Consider the following 20729-nt stretch of genomic DNA (forward strand, 5'->3'; position numbering starts at 1 on the left):
TAAATGTTTAAGGAATCAATAAATGAAAAATTACACATTTAATTGCCCTCGGGAGCCTCCAGAGAGGCCACTGATTGTGCAAACTCACTGGTTTGTGTGTGCTTCCTGCCAGTGCTGACAGGCTGCCTTATGGGCCGGTGACAAGCTGTGTCCTGTAAACCTGGCTGTGCTGAGGGACGGTGACATGCAGCTCACAGAAGGCACTAGGGCTGTCATGGTGGCCAAGCATTTAATACAACGATTGTGGTGCTCCAGGCAGAAACACAGCCCGGAAGAAGCCTCAGAGGCAGCCAAGGAGGGATGGGAGCACTTACTCCTTAGGGAAAGCTTGACTTGGTTTCTACTGTGTGCATGGCCCTCTGAAGGTCCGGGTAGAGGGGAAGCTACAGCTGTGAGAGCAACTGGGCATCCGTCTTAAAGAGTTTCAGGTCTAGTGGGGTTGAGGACAGGCTCACCGATAATCCCAGAACAAAGGCAAGATGGACCAATGCTGGAAGAGATCCACGCACAAAGGCAGGAGAGCCCGTCCCCAGGAGAAGGGGAGGCTTAGGGAGGATTAGTGGAAGCTTCGTGGTGGAAGGGCCATCTGAGCTCATTGACTAAGCATTTTTTTTTTTTTTTTGAGACAGAGTCTCACTCTTGTCTCTCCGGCTGGAGTGCAATGATCTCGGCTCACTTGAATCTCCACTTCCCAAATTCAAGCGATTCTCCTGCCTCAGCCTCCTGAGAAGCTGGGATTACAGGTGCCTGCCACCATGCCTGACTAAGTTTTGTATTTTTTAGTAGAGACAGGGTTTCACCATGTTGGCCAGGCTGGTCTCAAACTCAATCTCAGGTGATCCACCCACCGCGGCCTCCCAAAGTGCTGGGATTACAGGCGTGAGCCACCACGTCCGGCCTTCATGACTAGGCTTTCTGAATGGGGTGGGAATTGAAACAGCTTCCAGCTGGTCTCCCTGCGCCCTGCTCCCAGTCTATGCTCATGGTTGCAGCCAGACGATGCTCTTGAATTGAAGGGCACATGATGTCACTTCTCTGCTTAGAATTCTGCAATGGCTCCCATTGCATTCCGGGTGAACAGAGGTCCTTACGGTGGCCTACAAGGCCTTGTGTGACCGGCCTCCCAGTGGCCTCTGCAACGTGGCTCCTCCCACCCTCCCACTCACCCACACCAGGTACCCCGGGCACCTTGCTGCCCCCTGAGTGTGCCAGGCAGGCTCTCACCTCAGCCTGCTCTCCCTGCCTGGCACGCCCTTCCCGCAGCTCACCTCCTCACCTGCTTCAAGTCTTCACTGAAACGTCCTGCCATGCCCTCTCTGCTTTAAATGGTAACACCCACTCCCCTGCACTCTGCTGCCTTATCCCTCTTGAAATTTGTGTTTCTCCATGGAACCTTTTACGTTCTGACATAACTGTGCATTTTACTACTTATTTTTGTTTCTTGTCTTTTCCCCCCATAGAATGTAAGCTTTGTGAAAGCAGTTTTTTGTTTGTTTGTTTGTTTTTTGAGATGGAGTCTCGCTCAGTCGCCCAGGCTGGAGTGCAGTGGCACGATCATGGCTCACACAACCTCCGCCTCCCGGGTTCATGCCATTCTCCTGCCTCAGCCTCCCGAGTAGCTGGGACTACAGGCGCCCGCCACCACGCCCGGCTAATTTTTTTTATTTTTAGTGGAGATGGGGTTTCACCATGTTAGCCAGGATGGTCTCGATTTCCTGACCTTATGATGTGCCCGCTTCGGCCTCCGAAAGTGCTGGGATTACAGGCGTGAGCCACTGCACCTGGCCATGAAAGCACTTTTTAAAAATCTGTTTTACTCACTACAGTATCCCTAACACCTAGAACACTGCCTCATGTTAGGTGCCTAATAGGTACTTGTTGAATGAATGAATGAGTAAATGAATCAATGGGGCCATGCTGCATGCTTGAGGAAGTCCATGGGAAGGGCCTCCTGGCAGAGCTCCTAAAAACTGCTGCCCAAAGGGTCATTTGCAGGGATAGATCTGTGCCATACAGAGCAGAGGACCTGCTGGGGGTAGGCGATCAAGCGAGGAGGAAGGGTCCCCAGTCCAAGGGAGAGCAGACTCCACAACCATGAGTCCTCTGCAGGATCCCCGTGTCCCAGCATGGGTCAGGAATGCCTTCTCCCTCTGCTGCACTTGCTGTCCACGCTCCACCTGCACCTTCCCAGGAACTCACCAGCTCCCCTCCTGTCAGTCTTCCCGCAGTTCCCTCCCTTCTAATTCTTGAATTCCCGGCCCCTCTCCAGGCCAGCTGAGGCCCTTAGACAAGCACTTTGCTGCCTCCTTGTGGCTTCTGCAGGAAAGGCTTCTCCTCTCTTCCAGAGAGTGAGGATACGGGGCGCCTAACAGACAGCCTGGGGGTGATGAGAGAGGAAACCGAATCTTCTTGACCAGTGGTGGCCTGAATCATTGGCAGCTGCCCGCTCACAGCACTGCTGCCTGTGGCAGTGAACTCTGTGGCAGCGCCCTGACTGGTGCACTAGCTGGACTCAGGCTTTGGTTGTTCCAGGCTGCTCAGCTCCTGGGAAAGAATGTGAGGCAGCAGTCAGACCCCAGGGCCTGCCTCAAGGGTCACTGAGGTCAGTGACTAGTGTATCCAGCCTCCACCTGCTCAGCTTCCTCCCAGCTCAGAGGCAATAAATAGTGTTTGAGGGGTGATGAAGCCACCAGCCAGCGCAGGGCCTCCCAGGGTGTGCAGAGAGCAGGGGCAGGGTGTGACACAAGAGCCAGGGCCAGGATATGTAGAACTGGAGCATGGGAGGCCACTCAGCCTCCTAATTGGCTAATTGGCTGGGATGTTACCTGCTTAAGCTAATTGCCCCCAAATGGAGGAATATTCTAGAAGGCTCCTGGGTTATCTAGTGGACCCATAACTTACAAGACTGCCTGAGAAGACTGCTTTATTTTTTACTTTACTGGGTAACTTTTTCTTTCTGGCTGCTTTCAAGTTCTCTCATCTTTGGTTTCAGGTTTGACTATGATATGCTGAGGTATGTTTTCCTTTGTATTTATCTTGCTTCAGTTCTCTGAGCTCCTTGGATCTGTGGCTTCTTGTCTTTAATTTTGGAAATTCTCAGTGATTATCTCTTCAAGTAGCTTGTTAAATATTTCTTCTCCCTTTTTCTGGGACTTTGATCACATGTGTGTGAAACCATTGGTATTGTCCCACACATCTTGGGTGTTTGGTTTGGGGGTTGCTGATTTGTTGCTTTGTTTTTACTCTCTCTGTGTTATAGTTGGCTAATTTCTATTGATCTTGCCTCAATTCACATATTTTTTTGCCTTGCTTTTGTCTAGTTGGCTGATAAACCTGCCAAAGGATTTCTATATCTCTGATGTTAAGATTTTCTTTTCTTTTCTTTTCTTTTTTTTTTTTGAGACAGAGTCTCACTCTGTCACCAGGCTGGAGTGCAGTGGCACAATCTCAACTTACTGCAACCTCCACCTCCTGGGTTCAAGCAATTTTCCTGCCTCAGCCCCCCAAGTAGCTGGGACTACAGGCACGTGCCACCATGGCCAGCTAATTTTTGTGTTTTTAGTAGAGACGGGGTTTCACCGTGTTGGCCAGGATTGTCTCGATCTCTTGACCTCATGATCCGCCCACCTTGGCCTCCCAAAGTGCTAGGATTACAGGCGTGAGCCACTGCACCCAGCAAGATTTTCATTTCTGGCATCTTCAAGTTTCCATTTCTTTTGTACAATTCCCTCTCTCTACTCAAATTCCACGTCTGTTCCTGCATGTTGCCCACCTGTTAGAGGCAGATCCTGTAACATGTTAGATGTAGCTACCTTCAAATTCCTGCCTTCAAAGCCCTCACTTGATAGTTAACAGCATCCCAGCCATACACATCTTCTCTTCTTGAGAAGGTGACTCCTCTGATCATAGAATCATGCTCATCTGTTTTCTGACTTTTCAGACCATGCATGGCTTTCCCCTCCCTGGCTCTATGCCTGGGTTGTTTTTGAAGGGGTTTTCTCCTTTCCACTGTATGCCTCTGCAGTTAGTCAAGGCCAGAGTAGACCCTTCTCCCATGTCATCTTCCACATTTGTTTTGGTTCCTCATCTGAGGCTGTGGGCCATGCAAGCAGAGCTATGGCCAGTCCCCGAATATGGCTTGAAGCAATGCTCAAAAAAATACTCCTTCCCATGCCTTGTCTTCCCTGAATTTTTTGGGGGTAGAAGCAATACATTGACCAGAAATGTCAACTTTGCTCTTAAAAAAAATTAGGCTCCTGTATAGTATCAGTGAACCTCATCACTAGAAAAACACCCGACACACACACACACACACACACTTACACATATATACACATGCATACACATACATGTATACACACATACACATTTATACACACACATACACATATACACACATGTGCACATACATACATAAATACATCCACAGCTACATAAATACATACATATATACACAAACGTATACATACACACACATATATACACAAAGATACACACACATATATATTTGTCTTCCAACCCTCTTGGCTTCACAGCTTGGCCCGTGCAGGCTTTCTTTGCCTTTAAGAAGATGAAATTGTTACCAAAGCAGGAGAAGAATGTCAGACACTCTGCATGCTTGCCAGAGAGCTCGCTAGAGGACGTGCAGAAGGTCAAAGTCCTCCATCACCAGAGCAAGTTCAGCCACCAGGCCCCTTAAGCACAGTGCCAAGAGCCTGTGAAAACATGAAACCTTTGAAAATATGGGTGCCAAAATATAAAAACAAAGAATGTATGAATAGTATGAAATCTTTATAAAACATAATATTGTCAGTTTCATTCACTGTCAAATTTAATATTCAAAATAGTCTCATTACATTTATAAAACTTGTTCAATTTCTTCTCTGTGCATTCTGATTGCTGAGATGTCACTCACAGCTAAGTACACATTAAATAACTTACTCATAGCCAGTTAATTTCTGAAGCAAGGTTATAAAAATGCTTTCTAATTATTTAGAGCGATACATTTAGTGTGAGGGCATTTTAAGATGTTAAGTATCATTGGGGTGAGGCCTCCAGAAAAGAAAGAGCCTGGGACCCGAGAGGCTGGAAACAGCCCAGGGCCAGCACAGCTGTGCTGTGCATGTGTCCTGCATCATGATGCCAACTCCCCTTCCTCCCACACTAGGCATCCTCGCGATATCTTAAGCTGCGACTCAGAAAACAAATCCTACTCCTGGCATCATCCACAGAACCAGCTGTTCACACCCCACATCCTCCTCAGCTTTCTGGAGTCTCAGCCTTAGGCTGGAAGCAAGGATGGGCGCCATTCCTGAGGAAGAGAACCGCTGGACATGGGTTCTCTGAGGATGGGGTAATTTCCTATTTGTATGCCTGTTCCCTAGGCCAAGGGTGCTGGTGAGTGGAGAAGGACAGGGTGGGGGAGACTCAGCAGGGACCAGGCAAGCAGCTGTGTGTCAAGAGGAGGGTGTGTAGGTGCTCGTGAGCTGATTGAACTAACCGAATTAGTGTCTTAACTGAACTGACAGACGCTTGCCAGAGACGGCCTCCTTAGCCCACACCGTCTATATTTGAACCTCATGTCTCCATGTCTTCCACCTTTGTCCTCAGAGACACGCTCACCTTTGCCTCCCACCTTATGACACCTGGCTCTGGTCTGTATTTGGTATCTCCTTTTGTTCTCACCTTCTGAGCTTTCATGCAGATCACTGGCATGTCAGTGACATATCTGTCCATATTTTGATTAAATGAAGAGTTACACCTACTAAGTGCCAGGTGCCAATCACAGCTATCTCGGCATGTTTGCTCCCAAAGGACACAGACAACACTCAGAGGGTTCTAAAACTGAGTTGAGGAGGTGTGGGTTTCAGCAATGAGACAGAATTTTAAAATAAACCAACCTCTATTTTATTAAAATGTAGAGTTTGGGGACTGCAGGAGGGAAGCAGTGTTTCTCAAAGTTCTAGGAGTACTCAGCAACCCCCAGAGGGTTTCTTTAAAAGCACCAGCTGGGAACCTGCATTTTGACCAAGTTCTCTGTGGGTTTCCGTCCCTCAGAAGGTTGAGAATCACTGGCTGAGGGATGCAGTGGAGACTGGGGCTGTCTTGATCCTTCTGGCTTATTTGGGTTCCAGGGAGTGACTCGCTTGACTTTTTTTGAACAAGCTAAGCGGATTCATTTGTAGGTTCCTGGCATTCCTTCCTTTGGTTCGCTGAGGCGCTGCAAGAGTTAGTAGAGTTACAGGTGGGGGAGTAACTGAGACAAGGCCCAGGCCATGTGAGTGCCATCCCACACCTGAGCACTTCCCAGAGCCAAGTCCAGAGCTGAGCCCAGACTCAGCCTGGACACAGAACTGCTCAACACAACGTCCTCCCAAGTCCCAGGGGCTCTGCTTCTCTTCCTGCGAATCTGCCTTTTGCCTGACCTCACAAAAGACTTCCTCTTCCCTCCCCTCATTCTTTGCTCCTTCCCACCCATCCATGTTTCCTCAGCCCTAGCCCCATCTAGTCTCTTTCCCAGAGGCCGCATTGTAAGCCCTCCTGTCGTCTCCAGCATGTTAGATGCCTGTGTGAGTCTGTTCATGTGCATCTCGGTGTACACGTGTACCAGCATGGTTTTTTGTTTCGTTTTGTTTTGTTTTTTAAGATGGAGTCTCGCTGTGTCCCCAGGCTGGAGTGCAGTGGCGCAATCTTGGCTCACTGCAAGCTCTGCCTCCTGCGTTCACACCACTCTCCTGCCTCAGCCTCCTGAGTAGCTGGGACTACAGGCGCCCGCCACCATGCCCGGCTAATTTTTTGTATTTTTAGTAGAGATGGGGTTTCACCATGTTAGCCAGGATGGTCTCAATCTCCTGACCTCGTGATCTGCCCACCTCGGCCTCTCAAAGTGCTGGGATTACAGGCGTGAGCCACTATGCCCGGCCTGTACCAGCGTGTTTTTAGCTGTGCAGGAACAGACCCTGAGCAAGGGGAGGGCATAGCACTCAGAGTCAAGGCTAAGATTGTCCAGCTACAGAAAGCATTTGGGATCTGCAGACACACACAGCTCTCCCACCTGTCAGACAGAGAACCCAGGGGACATGCTTGTAAGACAAAGCTGAAAAAAATCTCAGAGAAGGGGGGCTGCTGGGTTTTGAGGGATGCAATCTTCTAGCATCTCAAACCATGGAGGGAAGATGAGCAGCCCTCCCTCACATGCCGAGAGGACGCCCCAGTGGGCTCAGAGATGAACAGGCCGTCAGTGCTAGGCAGACCAGGAGAATGGGACATGAGGTCAGGCCTAGTTATGAACCCAGATGGGGCTGTGCGCCAGACAGCATGGCCAGGGGAGCCGGTGAGGTCGGCAGGACCACAAAGAGGTGAGTGAGCCAGCACCACGCAGCAGGTGGATGTGAGGATCCATGGTGGGCCAGGAGCAGGTGGCCCGAGAAAAGGTGCACTTCAGGGAGTGGAGCAATGTCCAGGAGGGCACGCCCAAAGGAGGCAGCACGGCCACCACCCTGAGGTAGCAGCCTGGGCAGGGACAGAGAACTTTTGTTAGAGACCAGCAGATCCTCATGCCAAAATAGCGGACCCCAAGACAATGCAGGGAGCCCCCACACTGAGACATCAGGAGCAGCCTGACACGCAGGGAGGTGGTGGCAGCCTGGGATGTGGGTAAAGAAGACAGCACAGCAGGCTCTGCCTCTGCACCTGGTGGTGAGATCAACGCAGTAAACAGGTACAGGGTTGAAAGCAGGAAGAAAATTGTCTTCATCTAAGTTCCCTTAGAAAGGGGAAGCTGTCTTTGCTGGGAACAATATTTTGATAAGTGCCTTAAGCCTGAAACTGGGATCCCAGTGGAGGCCTGGGTGTGGGTGGAACAGCTCTGCTTGAGACATGAAGGAATTTTAGAATTGTGCATGTTTTACCAGAGAGGCGGGGAAAGAGGGAAGAAAGGAGGCTGCTGCTTGGTGCTGTTCAAAATGAATCCCGTTTCTCACTATCCCTCTATATTTTCAGAAAGTTACTGACGTCATGAGTGTATGGGCTCAAGTGGGGTGCATACCCCTGATATTTATATGCACATATCTCCGTGTGTGGAAAGAACAAAGGGGCTTGCCCGAGACTCAGAAGCTGGGCAGATCCCAGGCAGGGAAGGGATGCGGAGAGGAGAGACCCCACGATGGGGAGGTCTTTGGGTAAGTTTAACCAAATCTCTGCCAGGCCAGGCCCCAGTTGACCACTGGGTTACAGTGTTCTCCCACAGTGTTGTTTTGGTTATTCTCCATTCTGTTCGCTGTATCTAAATCAACAACCAACAGCAACACACATGCACATCCCCCTTGGAAACCCTCCAGGAATTGGAAACCAGGTTTCTGCACTGGGTGGGCTGGAATGATAGGACTCTCAGCTGGAATGCTGGCCCATTTCAGAGCGCAGGTGCGGCCAGGGATTCGCCCTCTTTGATGCTGCTATGCCTCCCTGTCTCACTGAGGTCTCCAGTTGGAGGATGGGAGAAGCACCAGTATCTTCAGGCTCTTGGCTCTGGTTAGGTCTAGACTGGAGGCATCAGGACCCTCTCCCCATTGGGGATCTGTAACTGACACAGGGCCAGGGTCACAGGAGGCAGATGGGATTGCTCATGTAGAGAGGGTCCTTAAAAGAGCCTTGAGCCTCCAGTAGTGACATCTACAAGCCCAGAGAGGCAAAGGAGAGCTAAGACTTCTAACCAGAAAAGCCTCTTGTTGGCCCCTGGAGTCCCACCTCTGTCCCCTCAGCTGTTCTTTCTAGGGACCGTTCTTGAAGATAGTAAGGAAAGGAAGTGACAGGCCCAGGCCCAAGGCTCAGGTTTCTCAGGCAGTCCAAGGGCTCCCTCATCTCTCCCTCCCTACACCTGGCTCCCCTGAGAACCACCCCCAAGGCTAGGGTGAGATGGGGCTCTTCAGAATTTATGTGCAGCCCAGGAGGCCAGTGTGAAGGAAAAGCCCCCTGGTGGCCTCTGAGACACTAAGGAAACCCTTCACCAGAACCGAAGTGCTGTTGGCATGGGGACCCCGCTTACAGCCGCCGAGCAAAGGAACCAGGTTAGCCTCTCTCTATCTGGTGTGGGATAGCAAATGAGGTCATTGTTAAAGCCTGGAGAGAGATTTATTGGGGAGAATCCACATTGACCATCAGCCTCGCACCTTACTGGGCCTTCAGGAAGTTCAGGCTTTTGTGGCAGGAGGACTACACGTCCAGTGTCAACAGCCGGGGAATATCTGGGTGTCCCCTCAGCTGGTCCCGGGGAAGGCTGGCAGGGGTCTTTTTTTCTATTGCGTAACTGGAGGAGGCCACCTCGGTCTTCCAGACAGCCTCCATCTGCTTCCCCTGTTGGCTGGGAGTGGGGAGTTTGGAGAATGTGAAAAGCAACAGAGAGAGATTGAGATGCAAGAGACTCTCCAGAGCCATCAGGCCCAAGTGAGCTTTGTCTCCTTCCCTTCTCAAATCGAGTGTGTCACTGCCCTCCTCATCTCCCCTCCAACACTGAGTCTGAATCTCACTTCCTTGGGGCTCCTCTGGCTGAGGAGCTGCTGGAAGAGGTTCCCAGGGCGGCCCCTGTCCTTCAAGGAACAGGCCCTGGGGCAGAAGCCCTGATCTAGGCCATGCAAGGGTAGGTGTGGACCAGGGTCCTTTTAGCGCCCCAGAGGTTCACAGTGTCTCCAGAGCCTGCAGGTCACATGGTGGGGAGGTTCAGGCTTGTTTATAGGACAGACCAACGGCAGATGCCAAATCGATGCTCAGGGTAGAAAGGTTATAAGTTTTCAGGTGTGGGTCCTCAGAGTCTTTCCGTCGCATAGTTTGAAATGCACTGGTCAGGCTAGTCCCTGAAGCCCACACACTATGACATACACCCCACCTGTGGGTCAGTGGCCAGCACTGGGGAGGGCAGCTGAGAAGACAGGCACTTTGCAACTCGTAGGGTGATATTGGCCTGTTGGTGCCCTCACTTCACTGCCCACCTCCCCAGGCTGGTCACCCCTGCTCCCTGCCTCTTCACCCATACAGCTGCTGCCCCCTCAGCTTCCCAGAACCTACCGGGCCATCTGCAGGGGCACACATGCCCGGTGCCTAGACAGAAAGGGCTGCTTGTAGGTGGGGCCACTGGGGCGGATGTGCCGGGGTGAGGCTGCAGGCAACTTGCATTTCTTTGGCTTTGGCGAGGTGACCTCAGGGATGTTCAGGTGAACGTTCCACTCCAGCTGGAGCTAGAGGAACCAGCAGAGAGGCATCAGGGAAACAGGAAGTTATCTCCTCTCTAGGTCGTGAGGAGGCTTTGTCTGTTTGTTGGTGCCCCTGCTGGACTCAGGGCTGAGTGGAGAGGGTAAGGCCCAGGGAATCCCTTCAATTAGAAACCCTGGGACCACAAGGTATCAGACCTTTGCTGGAAACTCCTTGAACTCTTTTTTGCTGTGTTAGTTCCTGTTTTCTCCTTTGTTGTGAGGAAGCTGGATAATGGGCAAAACAGCAAGGAAGAAAATGAAACCAGAGCAGCTGGAACCCATGAGAGCAGCTCCAGGCAGGGTTCATGGCAGGGGGCCAGGTTGTGCCTGGACTGCACTGGGTATCTTTTCGTCCAGCCCCAGCCCTGGCACTGGGTGAGGAGCTGGGGGAACCTTCACAGCCACTCAAAGAATTGTCATATCCCTTTCATTCTCAATCCCCAAACAAACAGCCAGTCAAGATGCCTCTAGGAGATTATCTGGACTGGTATAAGGTGATATGAAACCTCCATGGCCAAGGCTCTTCTGGCTGCCTGATGCCAGCCCTCACACCAATGCCTCAGCATGCTGCCTCCCCTAGACTCAGGCCACTGCCACTCAAGACTCGGGGGCAGGTGGTACCTCCTGACCCAACCCTAGGGCAGGTCCCAGCAGGCTCTGACTCACAACTTTGGGCTCCTCCAATCCCTCCAAGCTGCCCCTAGGGACCACGTCGGCACTTGCTGCTTTTCTGCTCCTGGCAGCCTGAGCCTCAGGTCTTGAGCTGAGGGCTGCTCATCCCAAAGCCAGTGTTGCAAATGAAGGAGTCTGGCAGGGAAAGATCCCATACTCATGGGTGGTGCAGAGAGCTATTCCTGCCATATGAAAGATGGATATGGATATAAACTCAATACTTGTATAATGGGGACAAAATTATTAATCGTCCCAAAGGGTATGAATTCTAATTTGCTGGGTTCCTGTTTTACATCTGTTGTAGAGAATCTAGAAACGGGCAAAACATCAGTGAAAAAAAAAAGACAAAGAAGTTAAATCTATATCTATATATCTATAATAAAGAATCAAGGCTGGGCGCGGTGGCTCATGCCTGTAATCCCAGCACTTTAGGAAGCCAAGTCAGGCAGATCATGAGGTCAAGAGATTGAGACCATCCTGGCCAACATGGTGAAACCCCGTCTCTACTAAAAATACAAAAATTAGCTGGGTGTGGTGGCGTGCATCTGTAGTCCCAGCTACTCGGAAGGCTGAGGCAGGAAAATTGCTTGAACGCAGGAGGCAGAAGTTGCAGTGAGCCGAGATCGCACCACTGCACTCCAGCCTGGCAATAGCGAGACTCTGTCTCCAAAAAAAAAAAAAAAAAAAAAAAGTCAAAAGAGGAGAATATAGGAGTCTTTTATTCCATTATTCCCAAGTTTCAGCTGTTATCTCTTTGGCCTTTTTTTTTTAATTGTATACTATTTTGCATTTATTTTAAATGTCAGAAGTTTCAAGGATTCCAATATAAGTTTTTTTTTAGTAATTCAGTATATAGACAATTAGTGGTATACACATGGATCCATTATCCCTCAGTGGTGTATGGCCCATAGATTAGTAATCATTTATCTAAACAAAGAGAAAAGGAAGTTTGGGTGTCAAAGACTGTTTTGGAGTTTAAAGAGGTTTTCTGGATATGAGAGAATGGCAGAGGAGAGGAAAAAATAAGAAAATCTCATGATTGTGAATTATAAGTTGGACCCACTTTAGTGATTATGAGTGACCCAATTAAAGATTGGGGTTACTTTTTTATTATTTTTGGCAGGTGAGTGAGCATTATATCTCTGAATGGGATATAATGGATACAATGGCATAACCAGATCACATAACATCTTGGGATTTATTTGGGTTGTACTTGATGTATGAATGTTAAAACCAGGTCTATACATTTTGGATGGTTACTTTACTGAATTCTGCCAAGGTAAAGTGGGGTGGTGGGGAGGGGGTGAAAGAGTAAGGTTTCTGCTAGTGTTAGTTTTCAGAGGAAAAACACGAGGTCTCAGTAAGGACATGGAAAAGATGAGGATAGGCTCCAAGTGTAGAGATTAAGAGAGTGAGTGATACCTTCTCATTCTGTTGGCCTAAACCCATATGGTTCCTAACCCATAGGGCATGGTCCCCTGAGGGGCAATGGATTTTTTGCCAAGAGCCCAAGAATGTAAGTACATACTTAAAATTGTACAAAAATTGAATAAATAAAAAGTAAAACTACTAGTATATAGGAATTCTTGGAACTTTTAACATTTAAAATGAATCTTAATAGTATAGGATTTTTTTTGAGGAGATAAACTAGTGATAATGGAATAACAAGGACTAGTTTACTATTCTCCTGTAAACAACTAGTAGGCCAAACAGAATAGATGAAAAAATGATGTATACCCATTCAGACAACAGGCAGTGCAGGTCAATGATCCCCAAAAGGAATGAAACAAATGAGACAATGTCCAGGCCCCAGCACAGGGCAGGGAACCCAAACAGAAGCCAGCAGCCTTGCTGAGATGAGGAGACAGCATCTGGGTATCAGGGAAGCCAAGGTGACTAGAATTTGAAAACCAGAGTACCAGAGAGGAGGAAGCCACATGGCAAGGAATCTCCAAAGCTCTGCAGAGGGGTCCCGTTAAGTCTCTGTGCAGGCCTGGGAGGAAACCACCAAGGCTGGGGGAAGAATCACTGGGCAAGAACAGGCAGAACCATCCTCAGAGCTCATATATCCCTGGGAAGAGTTTGTGTTTACATCTGTAAAATACCGAAAGAAAAAGCTGCCCACCTAGAATTCTACATCCAGCAAAAACATCTTTCAAAACTGAAAGCTGAATAAACCTTTTCAGACACCAAAGCTGAGAGGATTCATCACCAGCAGATAAGCAGTGTGAGAAATGTTAAAGGAATCCTTCAGGCAGAAGGAAAATGATACCCAAAATACATTTGGATCTACACAAAAGAGTAAGGAGCACTGGAAATGTTAAGTGTGGGGGTAAATAGATTATTCTTTTCCCTTTGCTTAAGGGAAAAGTAATAACAATGTACAGTTGTCCCTTGCTATCCGTGGGGTATTGGCTCCAGGACTCCTCACAGGCACCAAAATTTGTGGATGCTCACATGCTTATATAAAATGGTGCAGTGTTTGCATATCACCCACCCACATCCTCCTGTATATATTAAATGGTCTCTAGATTACTTATAATACCTAATATAATATAAACACTATCTAAGTAGTTGTTATACTGTTTAGGGAATAACAAGAAAAAAAAGTCTGTTCATGTTCAGCACAGACACAACCATCTATTTTTTTCTCCGAATATTTTTGATCTGTGGTTGATTGAATCCACAGATGCAGAACCCATAGATACAGAGGGCCAACTGCATTAGGGGATTTATAAGTTACATAGAGACAAAATGTATGACAACAGTAGGACAAAGGCCGGGAGGGAAGAAATAGATGTATACTATTGTAAGGTTCTTACACATGAAATAATATTATTTGAAAGTAGACTATGATAAGTTAAAGATTTATATTGTAAACCCTAGAGTGCAGTGGCTCACGCCTGTAATCCCAGCACTTTGGGAGGCCGAGGTGGGCAGAGCACATGATCAGGAGTTCGAGACCAGCCTGACCAACATGGTGAAACCCAGTCTCTACTAAAAATACAAAAATTAGCTGGGCGTGGTGGTGTGCACCTATAATCTCAGCTACTCAGGTGGCTGAGGCAGGAGAATCTCTTGAACCTGGGAGTTGGAGGTTGCAGTGAGCCGAGATCATGCCACTGCACTCTAGCCTGGGCAACAGAGTGAGACTCTGTCTCAAAAAATAATAATAATAAAATAACAAAACAGGCTGGGCATGGTGGCTCAAGCCTGTAATCCCAGCACCTTGGGAGGCTGAGGCGGGTGGATCACATGAGGCCAGGAGTTCGAGACCAGCCTGGCCAACATGGCAAAACCGTGTCTCTACTAAAAATACAAAAAAATTAGCCGGACATGGTGGCGGGTGCCTGTAATCCCAGCTACTCAGGAGGCTGAGGCATGAGAATCGCTTGAATCCAGGAGGCGGAGGTTATGGTGAGCTGAGATCGCACCACCACACTCCAGCTTAGGAGAGAGAGAAAGACTCTCTCAAAAAATAAAAATAAAAAATAACAAAACAAAGAGGTATGGCTAATATGTAATATGTCAGGAGTGGAGATAAGATGAATTTACTTGAAAAGCTCAGTTACTCCACAAGAAGGCAGGAAAAGAGGGAAAAAAACAAAGAACAGATTAGACAAATAGAAATGAAGAGCAAATTATATATTTAAACTCAACTGCGTTGATAATCACATCAAATATAAATAGCCTAAAACCACCAAATAAAAGGCAGAGATTGACAGATTGCATAAAAAAGCAAGACCCAACTATAAGGTATCAATTAAAAACCCAATTTAAATATAGAGACACAGTGCTCACTTCGGTAGCACATATACTAAAGTTGGAATAATACAGAGAAGACTACTAGCATGGCCTCTGTGCAAGGATGACACACAAATTCATGAAGTGTTCCAGTAAATAATATATAGACACAGAGGTTAACAGTGAAAGAGTGGAAGAAGGTATACCATGCAAATAGTAAAAAATATTTAAAAAGCTGCAGTGACTATATCAATACTGATGTACACTGAAGAGCAAGGAATATAATTAGAAACAAACGGCCGGGTGTGGGTGGCTCATGCCTGTAATCCCAGCACTTTGGGAGGCCCAGGTGGGCGGATCCCCTGAGGTTGAGAATTGGAGACCAGCCTGGCCAACATGGCGAACCCCGTCTCTACTAAAAATACAAAAATTAGCCAGGTGTGGTGGCAGGCATTTGTAATCCCAGCTACTCGGGAGGCTGAGGCACAAGAATCACTTGAACCTGAGAGGTGGAGTTTGCAGTGAGCCAACCAAGATGGTGCCACTGCATTGCCTGGGTGACAGCAAGACTCCATCTCAAAAAAAAAAAAAAGAAAAGAAAGAGGGCCATTTCATAAGGATAAAAGTCCAAATTTTGGGCCAGGTAAGGTGATTCATGCTGTAATCCCAATACTTTGGGAGGTCAAGGTGGCAGGATCGCTTAAGGGCAAGATTTGGAGACCAGCCTGGACAACATAGTGAAACTTCATCTCTATAAAAATAAATAGTAAAGGTCAAATTTTCAAGAGTACATAAGCAATCTTAAATGTGTATGCACCTAATTACAGAGCTTCAGAGTATTTGAATAATAAACCTATAAAACTGAAATAAATAGACATAACTGGAGATATACAGCATGCTCATGAATTGAAAGAATAAATATTATTAAGATGCCATTTCTCAGTGCTGGGTAGGTAGGGAATTGGTGGGTTGGAGTTTGTGGTGGGTACTTGGGCCAAAACTAGAAAGACACTCAGAGTAAAAAGGGGCTCACAATGACACCCAGGACATTCAACCCCCAAGGCAGCAGCCAATGATATATATCTGTGGAGGATGTCATGCAGAAAATGAAATAAAATCCAGGGATCCAATCAGATGCAGAGAATGTGTATACAGAATAATATTCAAGAAAAGGACTGAAAGATTGGTGGGTTTTGATGCTCAGTGAAACCTGGGAATTCAGAGGAATGTCTTCACTTACACCTGAATTTCCCTCTTAATGTTTCTCATTGTTGTATAGCTTTCGGTTTTGCATATAGTAGATCCCCCTTATCCTTGGGGGATACATTTCAAGAACCCCAGTGGACGCCTGAAACCTCAGTACCAAACCCTTTATACACTGTTTTTCCTGTATATACTTAACTATGATAAAGTTTAATTTTTAAATTAGGCAGAGTAAGAGATTAATAACAATAACAAAATAGAACAATTTTAACAATATACTATAATAAAAGTTACGTGAATGTGGTTGGTCTCTTGCTCTCAAAATATCTTACACAGGCCGGGTGTGGTGGCTCACGCCTGTAATCCCAACATTTTGGGAGGCCAAGGTGGGTGGATCACCAGAGGTCAGGAGTTTGAGACCAGCCTGGCCAACATGGTGAAAACCCATCTCTACTAAAAATACAAAAATTAGCTGGGCATGGTGGCGCATGCCTGTAATCCCAGATACTTGGGAGGCTGAGGCAAGAGAATCGCCTGAACCCGGGAGGTGGAGGTTGCAGTGAGCCAAGATAGCACAACTGCACTCCAGCCTGGGCAACAGAGCAAGACTCTGTCTCAAAAAAAAAAAAAAGGAATGCCGCAGACTGAAAGATAATATCCACGAAATACAGATCTGGTATAGAACTTGCATCCAGAATATGGGATGAATTTTTACAACCCAATAATATGCTTTGCCAAAGGAGATAAATGGATGACAAATAAGCACATGAAAATATGCTCACATTATTGTTAGGAAAATTCACGTTGTATAAATTAAAGTCTTAGTATAAAATAGTTCTACAATAGCATGAAAACATATAACCTGAGTTTTAAATTATTATTTTGAGTTTTTGGCTAAAGGAGCAGAGGAAATGGAGACGGTCATCCTGTAGATGTCATGAGGCAAGCTGGGATTAAGGTCACCATTGCAGGTCTGGCTGGAAAAGACCCAGTACAGTGTAGCCTTGATGTTTTCATTTGTCCTGATGCCAGTCTTGAAGATGCAAAAAAAGAGGGACCATATGACATAGTAGTTCTACCAGGAGGTAATCTGGGTGCACAGAATTTACCTGAGTCTGCTTCTGTGAAGGAGATACTAAAGGAGCAGGAAAACCAGAAGGGCCTTATAGCCACTATCTGTGCAGGTCCTACTGCTCTGATGGCTCATGAGATCAGTTTTGGAAGTAAAGTTACAACACTCCCGCTTGCTAAGGACAAAATGATGAATGGAAGCCATTACACCTACTCTGAGAATCGTGTGGAAAAGGACGGCCTGAAATTCTTATAAGCCCAGGGCCTAGGACCAGCTTTGAGTTTGTGATTACAATTGTTGAAGCCCTGAGCAGCAAGGAGATGGCAGCTCAAGTGAAGGCTCCACTAGTTCTTAAAGACTAGAGCAGCAAGTGGCTGGGCGCGGTGGTTCACGCCTGTAATCCCAGCATTTTGGGAGGCTGAGGCAGGCGGATCACGAGGTCAGGAGATGGAGACCATCCTGGCTAACACAGTGAAAACCCGTCTCCACTAAAAAATACAACAAAATTACCCGGGCGTGGCGGTGGGTGCCCATAGTCCCAGCTACTCGGGAGGCTGAGGCAGAAAATGGCGTGAACCTGGGAGGCGGAGCTTGCAGTGAGCCGAGATGGCGCCACTGCACTCCAGCCTGGGCGACAGAGCGAGACTCCGTCTCAAAAAAATAAATAAATAAAAATAAGACTAGAGCAGCGAAATGTGACGATCACTTAGAGAAACAGGCCATTAGGAATCCATTCTCACTGTGTTCGCTCTAGACAAAACAATGGTAGATTAATGTGTTCAGAAGCCACCGTCATTACTGCTTTTGCCGAAGTATAGTTGTGAAGTCACAACTACACAGAGATTTCTCAACCTACAAAGTGTGTCTGTACATTTCTTTTTTTTAATAAGCCTTGTTTGCAGAATAAACAAGGCATTTAGCAAACTAAAAATAATAAAATAGGCAGAGCAGGAGTTCAAGACTAGCCTCGGCAATATAGTGAGACCCCCGTCTCAAAAAAAAAAAAAAAAAAAAAGCAGGGGCAAAGGACCTCAACTGACATTTATCCAAAAAAGACATAGGTACTCTGGGCCACTCTGCCTATGGGACAGCCCTGCTCTGTCTGTGGAGCAGCCATTCTGTTGCACACTGTTGCTCTAATAAACTTGATGTCTTTAAAAAAAAAAAGACATAAAAATGGCCAACAAGTATATGAAAAGGTGCTCAGCATCATTAATCATCAGGGAAATGCAAATCAAAACCACAATGAGCTATCACCTCACACTGCTAGAAGAACTATTATCAAAAAGACAGGCGATAGCAAGGTCATGGCAAGGGTGTGAAGAAAAGGGAACCCTGTGCACTATTCATAGGAAGGTAGATTAGTACAGCCATTGTGGAAAACAGTATGGAGGCTCCTAAAAAAATTAAAAATGAAATTACTATGACCCAGGGATTCTCTTCTGGGTATATACCCAAAGGAACAGAATCGCCACCTTGAAAAGATATCTGGACTCCCATGTCCATTGCAGTATTACTCACAGTAGCCAAGATATGGAAACAACCGAGGTGCCCATCAGTGGACCAATGAAAGAAACTCTGGTATATACAGTCGTGCACTGCATAACAACATTTCAGTAAATGATGGACCACATATATGACCGTGGTCTCATAAGATTATAATACCATATCTTTACTGTACTTTTTCTATGTTTAGATAACACAAATATTCACCATTGTGTTCTGACTGCCTAGAGTATTCAGAATAGTCACATGCTGCACAGATTTGCAGCCTAGCAGCAATAGGTTACACCATATAGTCTAGGTGTGTAGCAGGCTATCCCATCTAGGTTTGTGGAAGTATACCCTGTAATGTTCACACAACAAAAAATTGCTTAACAACACATTTCCCATAACAACCCCATCATTAAGTGATGCATAACTGTATATACAGTGGAATATTATTCAGCCTTAAAAAAGGAGATCCTGCCATTTGCCACAATATGGTTGGCCCCGGAGGACATTATGCTAAGTGAAATATGCCATGCATAGATGGAAAAATATCGCATGATCTCACTTATATGTGAAATCTAAAAAAAACAAAAGGCCGAATTGAGGAGACAGAAAATAAAACAGTGGTTACCAGAATTGGGGTGGGGGTGGGAGGAAATGGGGTGACATAGACCAAAGGATACACAGTAGCAAATACATAGGACTAAGAAACTGAAAGCTCTATGTGTTGGATTATAGTTAATAGTGTATTGTGTTCAGGATTTTTGCCAAATGAGTAGATTACTACTGCCCTTGCCAGAGGAGAGAGAAAAATGGCAACTATGTGAGATGATGGATATGTTAATTTGTTTTACTATGGTAACCATTTTACTATATATGTATCTTATAATGTCATGTTATAAACCTTAAATATATACAATAAAACATTTTAAATAAATAATAAATAATAAAAATTGTGGCCGGGTGTGGTGGCTCATGCCTGTAATCCCAGCACTTTGGGAAGCCAAGGCAGGTGGATCACTTGAGGTCAGGTGTTCAAGACCAGCCTGGCCAACATGGTGAAACCCCGTCTCTACTAAAAATGCAAAAATTATCCAGGTGTGGTGGTGGGTACCTATAATCCCAGCTACTCGGGAGACTGAGGCAGGAGAATAGCTTGAACCTGGGAGGTGGAGGTTGTAGTGAGCCAAGATTGTGCCACCGCACTCCAGCCTGGGCAAAAGAGCGAGACTCTGTCTCAAAGCAAACACATTTTGAGGGATTATGAGGGAAAATGGATTCTAAGCTAGACTTCCACATCCAAGCAAACAGTCAATTAAGAGTGAGGATAGATATTAAGTAAAGACATTTTCAGACAACCAGGGTCTCAGTGACTTAACCTCCCATGCAATCGTTGTCAGAAAGTGAGTGGAGGAGGGACTCTACTAAAACAAGGAAGTGAACAAAGGAAGAAGAGACCTGGAATCTAGAAAGCCAAGGAGCTGATTCAGGGAGAAGCAAAGCAAGTCCCTGTGAGACAGTGAAGATGACGGCTGTGCACCAAGCCTGGAGAGCCACCAGACTGACAGGAGCAAGGCACGGAGAACCACAGGGGAGGGAGAATCACAGCCCAGAGCCAGGACTGCAGGATCCAGCTGCCTCCTCTTCTCCAGAAGAACTCTTCTCTTCCACAGATCTTTTTGAAGAGACATCTCTCTCTCTCTGGGTTGCTCTCCCCAGAAACAGATTGGAAAGCTGCCCACCCCCATGCTCAGGCCACCACCTGCCTTCACCTCTCCCTGGTGCAGAGGCTTTATCCTGCCTTCTCCTTTCCCTTCTGCCCCTGGTCCCGCAGTCTCAGCCACATCCCCACGGGTTCATTTCAGGCCCCAAGCCGACTGGCTGTGCTGACCCCAGGAGGCGGAGTGGCGGGGGGGTCAGGGCGGGAGGCCCACCTTGGGGAACATGGTCACCATGCTGCTCAGGCACTCTCGGTGCTTCTCCTCCAGCCCCTTCTGCTTGTCCGTCCAGGCCTGCAGCCTGAGACTCTGCAGGCGGTCAATGTTTTCCAGGAAGATGTAGAGGTTCTGGGCCTTGTAGGAAGCCTCCGTTTCTTTCATGATTTGTACATGGTTGATCGCTTCTTGCCTGGGAAAAGAGGAGAAGCAATTTAGGGGGTGGAGAGGCCTCCTCTATCCCCCAAGTCTGTTAACCAGAGATGACTTTGTTTTCTTTAATTCCTTAGAGCAAAAAGAGAAATGGAGGCTGGTGAGAGCTGGGGAAAATGGGGCAGAGAAAAGTGGGAGGTGGTATGAAGTGAGGAG

General features: G+C 47.1%; 1 protein-coding gene and 3 pseudogenes across 10 annotated transcripts in view, besides 2 other annotated features; 3 read left to right on the forward strand and 1 right to left on the reverse strand.

The window, feature by feature from the left end:
• Window positions 3862-3911: an enhancer, noted in NCBI's record as "active region_6318". NCBI's record gives its function as "activates an Ori minimal core promoter by ATAC-STARR-seq in GM12878 lymphoblastoid cells {active_cell/tissue: GM12878}" and the evidence as "EXISTENCE:reporter gene assay evidence [ECO:0000049][PMID:35858748]".
• Window positions 4012-4061: an enhancer, noted in NCBI's record as "active region_6319". NCBI's record gives its function as "activates an Ori minimal core promoter by ATAC-STARR-seq in GM12878 lymphoblastoid cells {active_cell/tissue: GM12878}" and the evidence as "EXISTENCE:reporter gene assay evidence [ECO:0000049][PMID:35858748]".
• FAM186B (family with sequence similarity 186 member B) overlaps window positions 4479-20729 on the reverse strand; it is a 39886-nt gene continuing 23635 nt past the window's right edge. For 4 of the 10 annotated variants that reach the window (XM_047429639.1, XM_047429640.1, NM_032130.3 and 1 more), the window contains exons 5-7: window positions 20361-20553; window positions 10060-10229; window positions 9111-9358 (exon numbers count right to left, since the gene is read on the reverse strand). In XM_047429639.1, the coding sequence (XP_047285595.1) occupies window positions 9211-9358; window positions 10060-10229; window positions 20361-20553 (511 nt within the window). In that variant the 3' untranslated portion in view covers window positions 9111-9210. Of the gene's footprint in view, window positions 4716-5883; window positions 6221-9110; window positions 9359-10059; window positions 10230-20360; window positions 20554-20729 lie in introns of those variants that run through there. The other 6 variants (NR_027450.2, XM_006719626.3, XM_006719625.3 and 3 more) reach the window with 5 other exon arrangements.
• Window positions 14710-14819, forward strand: RNU6-834P (RNA, U6 small nuclear 834, pseudogene; annotated as a pseudogene).
• Window positions 15686-16064, forward strand: POLR2KP1 (RNA polymerase II subunit K pseudogene 1; annotated as a pseudogene).
• PARK7P1 (PARK7 pseudogene 1) lies at window positions 16755-17303 on the forward strand (annotated as a pseudogene).

Source organism: Homo sapiens, chromosome 12 (assembly GCF_000001405.40).
Source record: "Homo sapiens chromosome 12, GRCh38.p14 Primary Assembly".
Taxonomy (NCBI): Eukaryota; Metazoa; Chordata; class Mammalia; order Primates; family Hominidae; genus Homo; species Homo sapiens.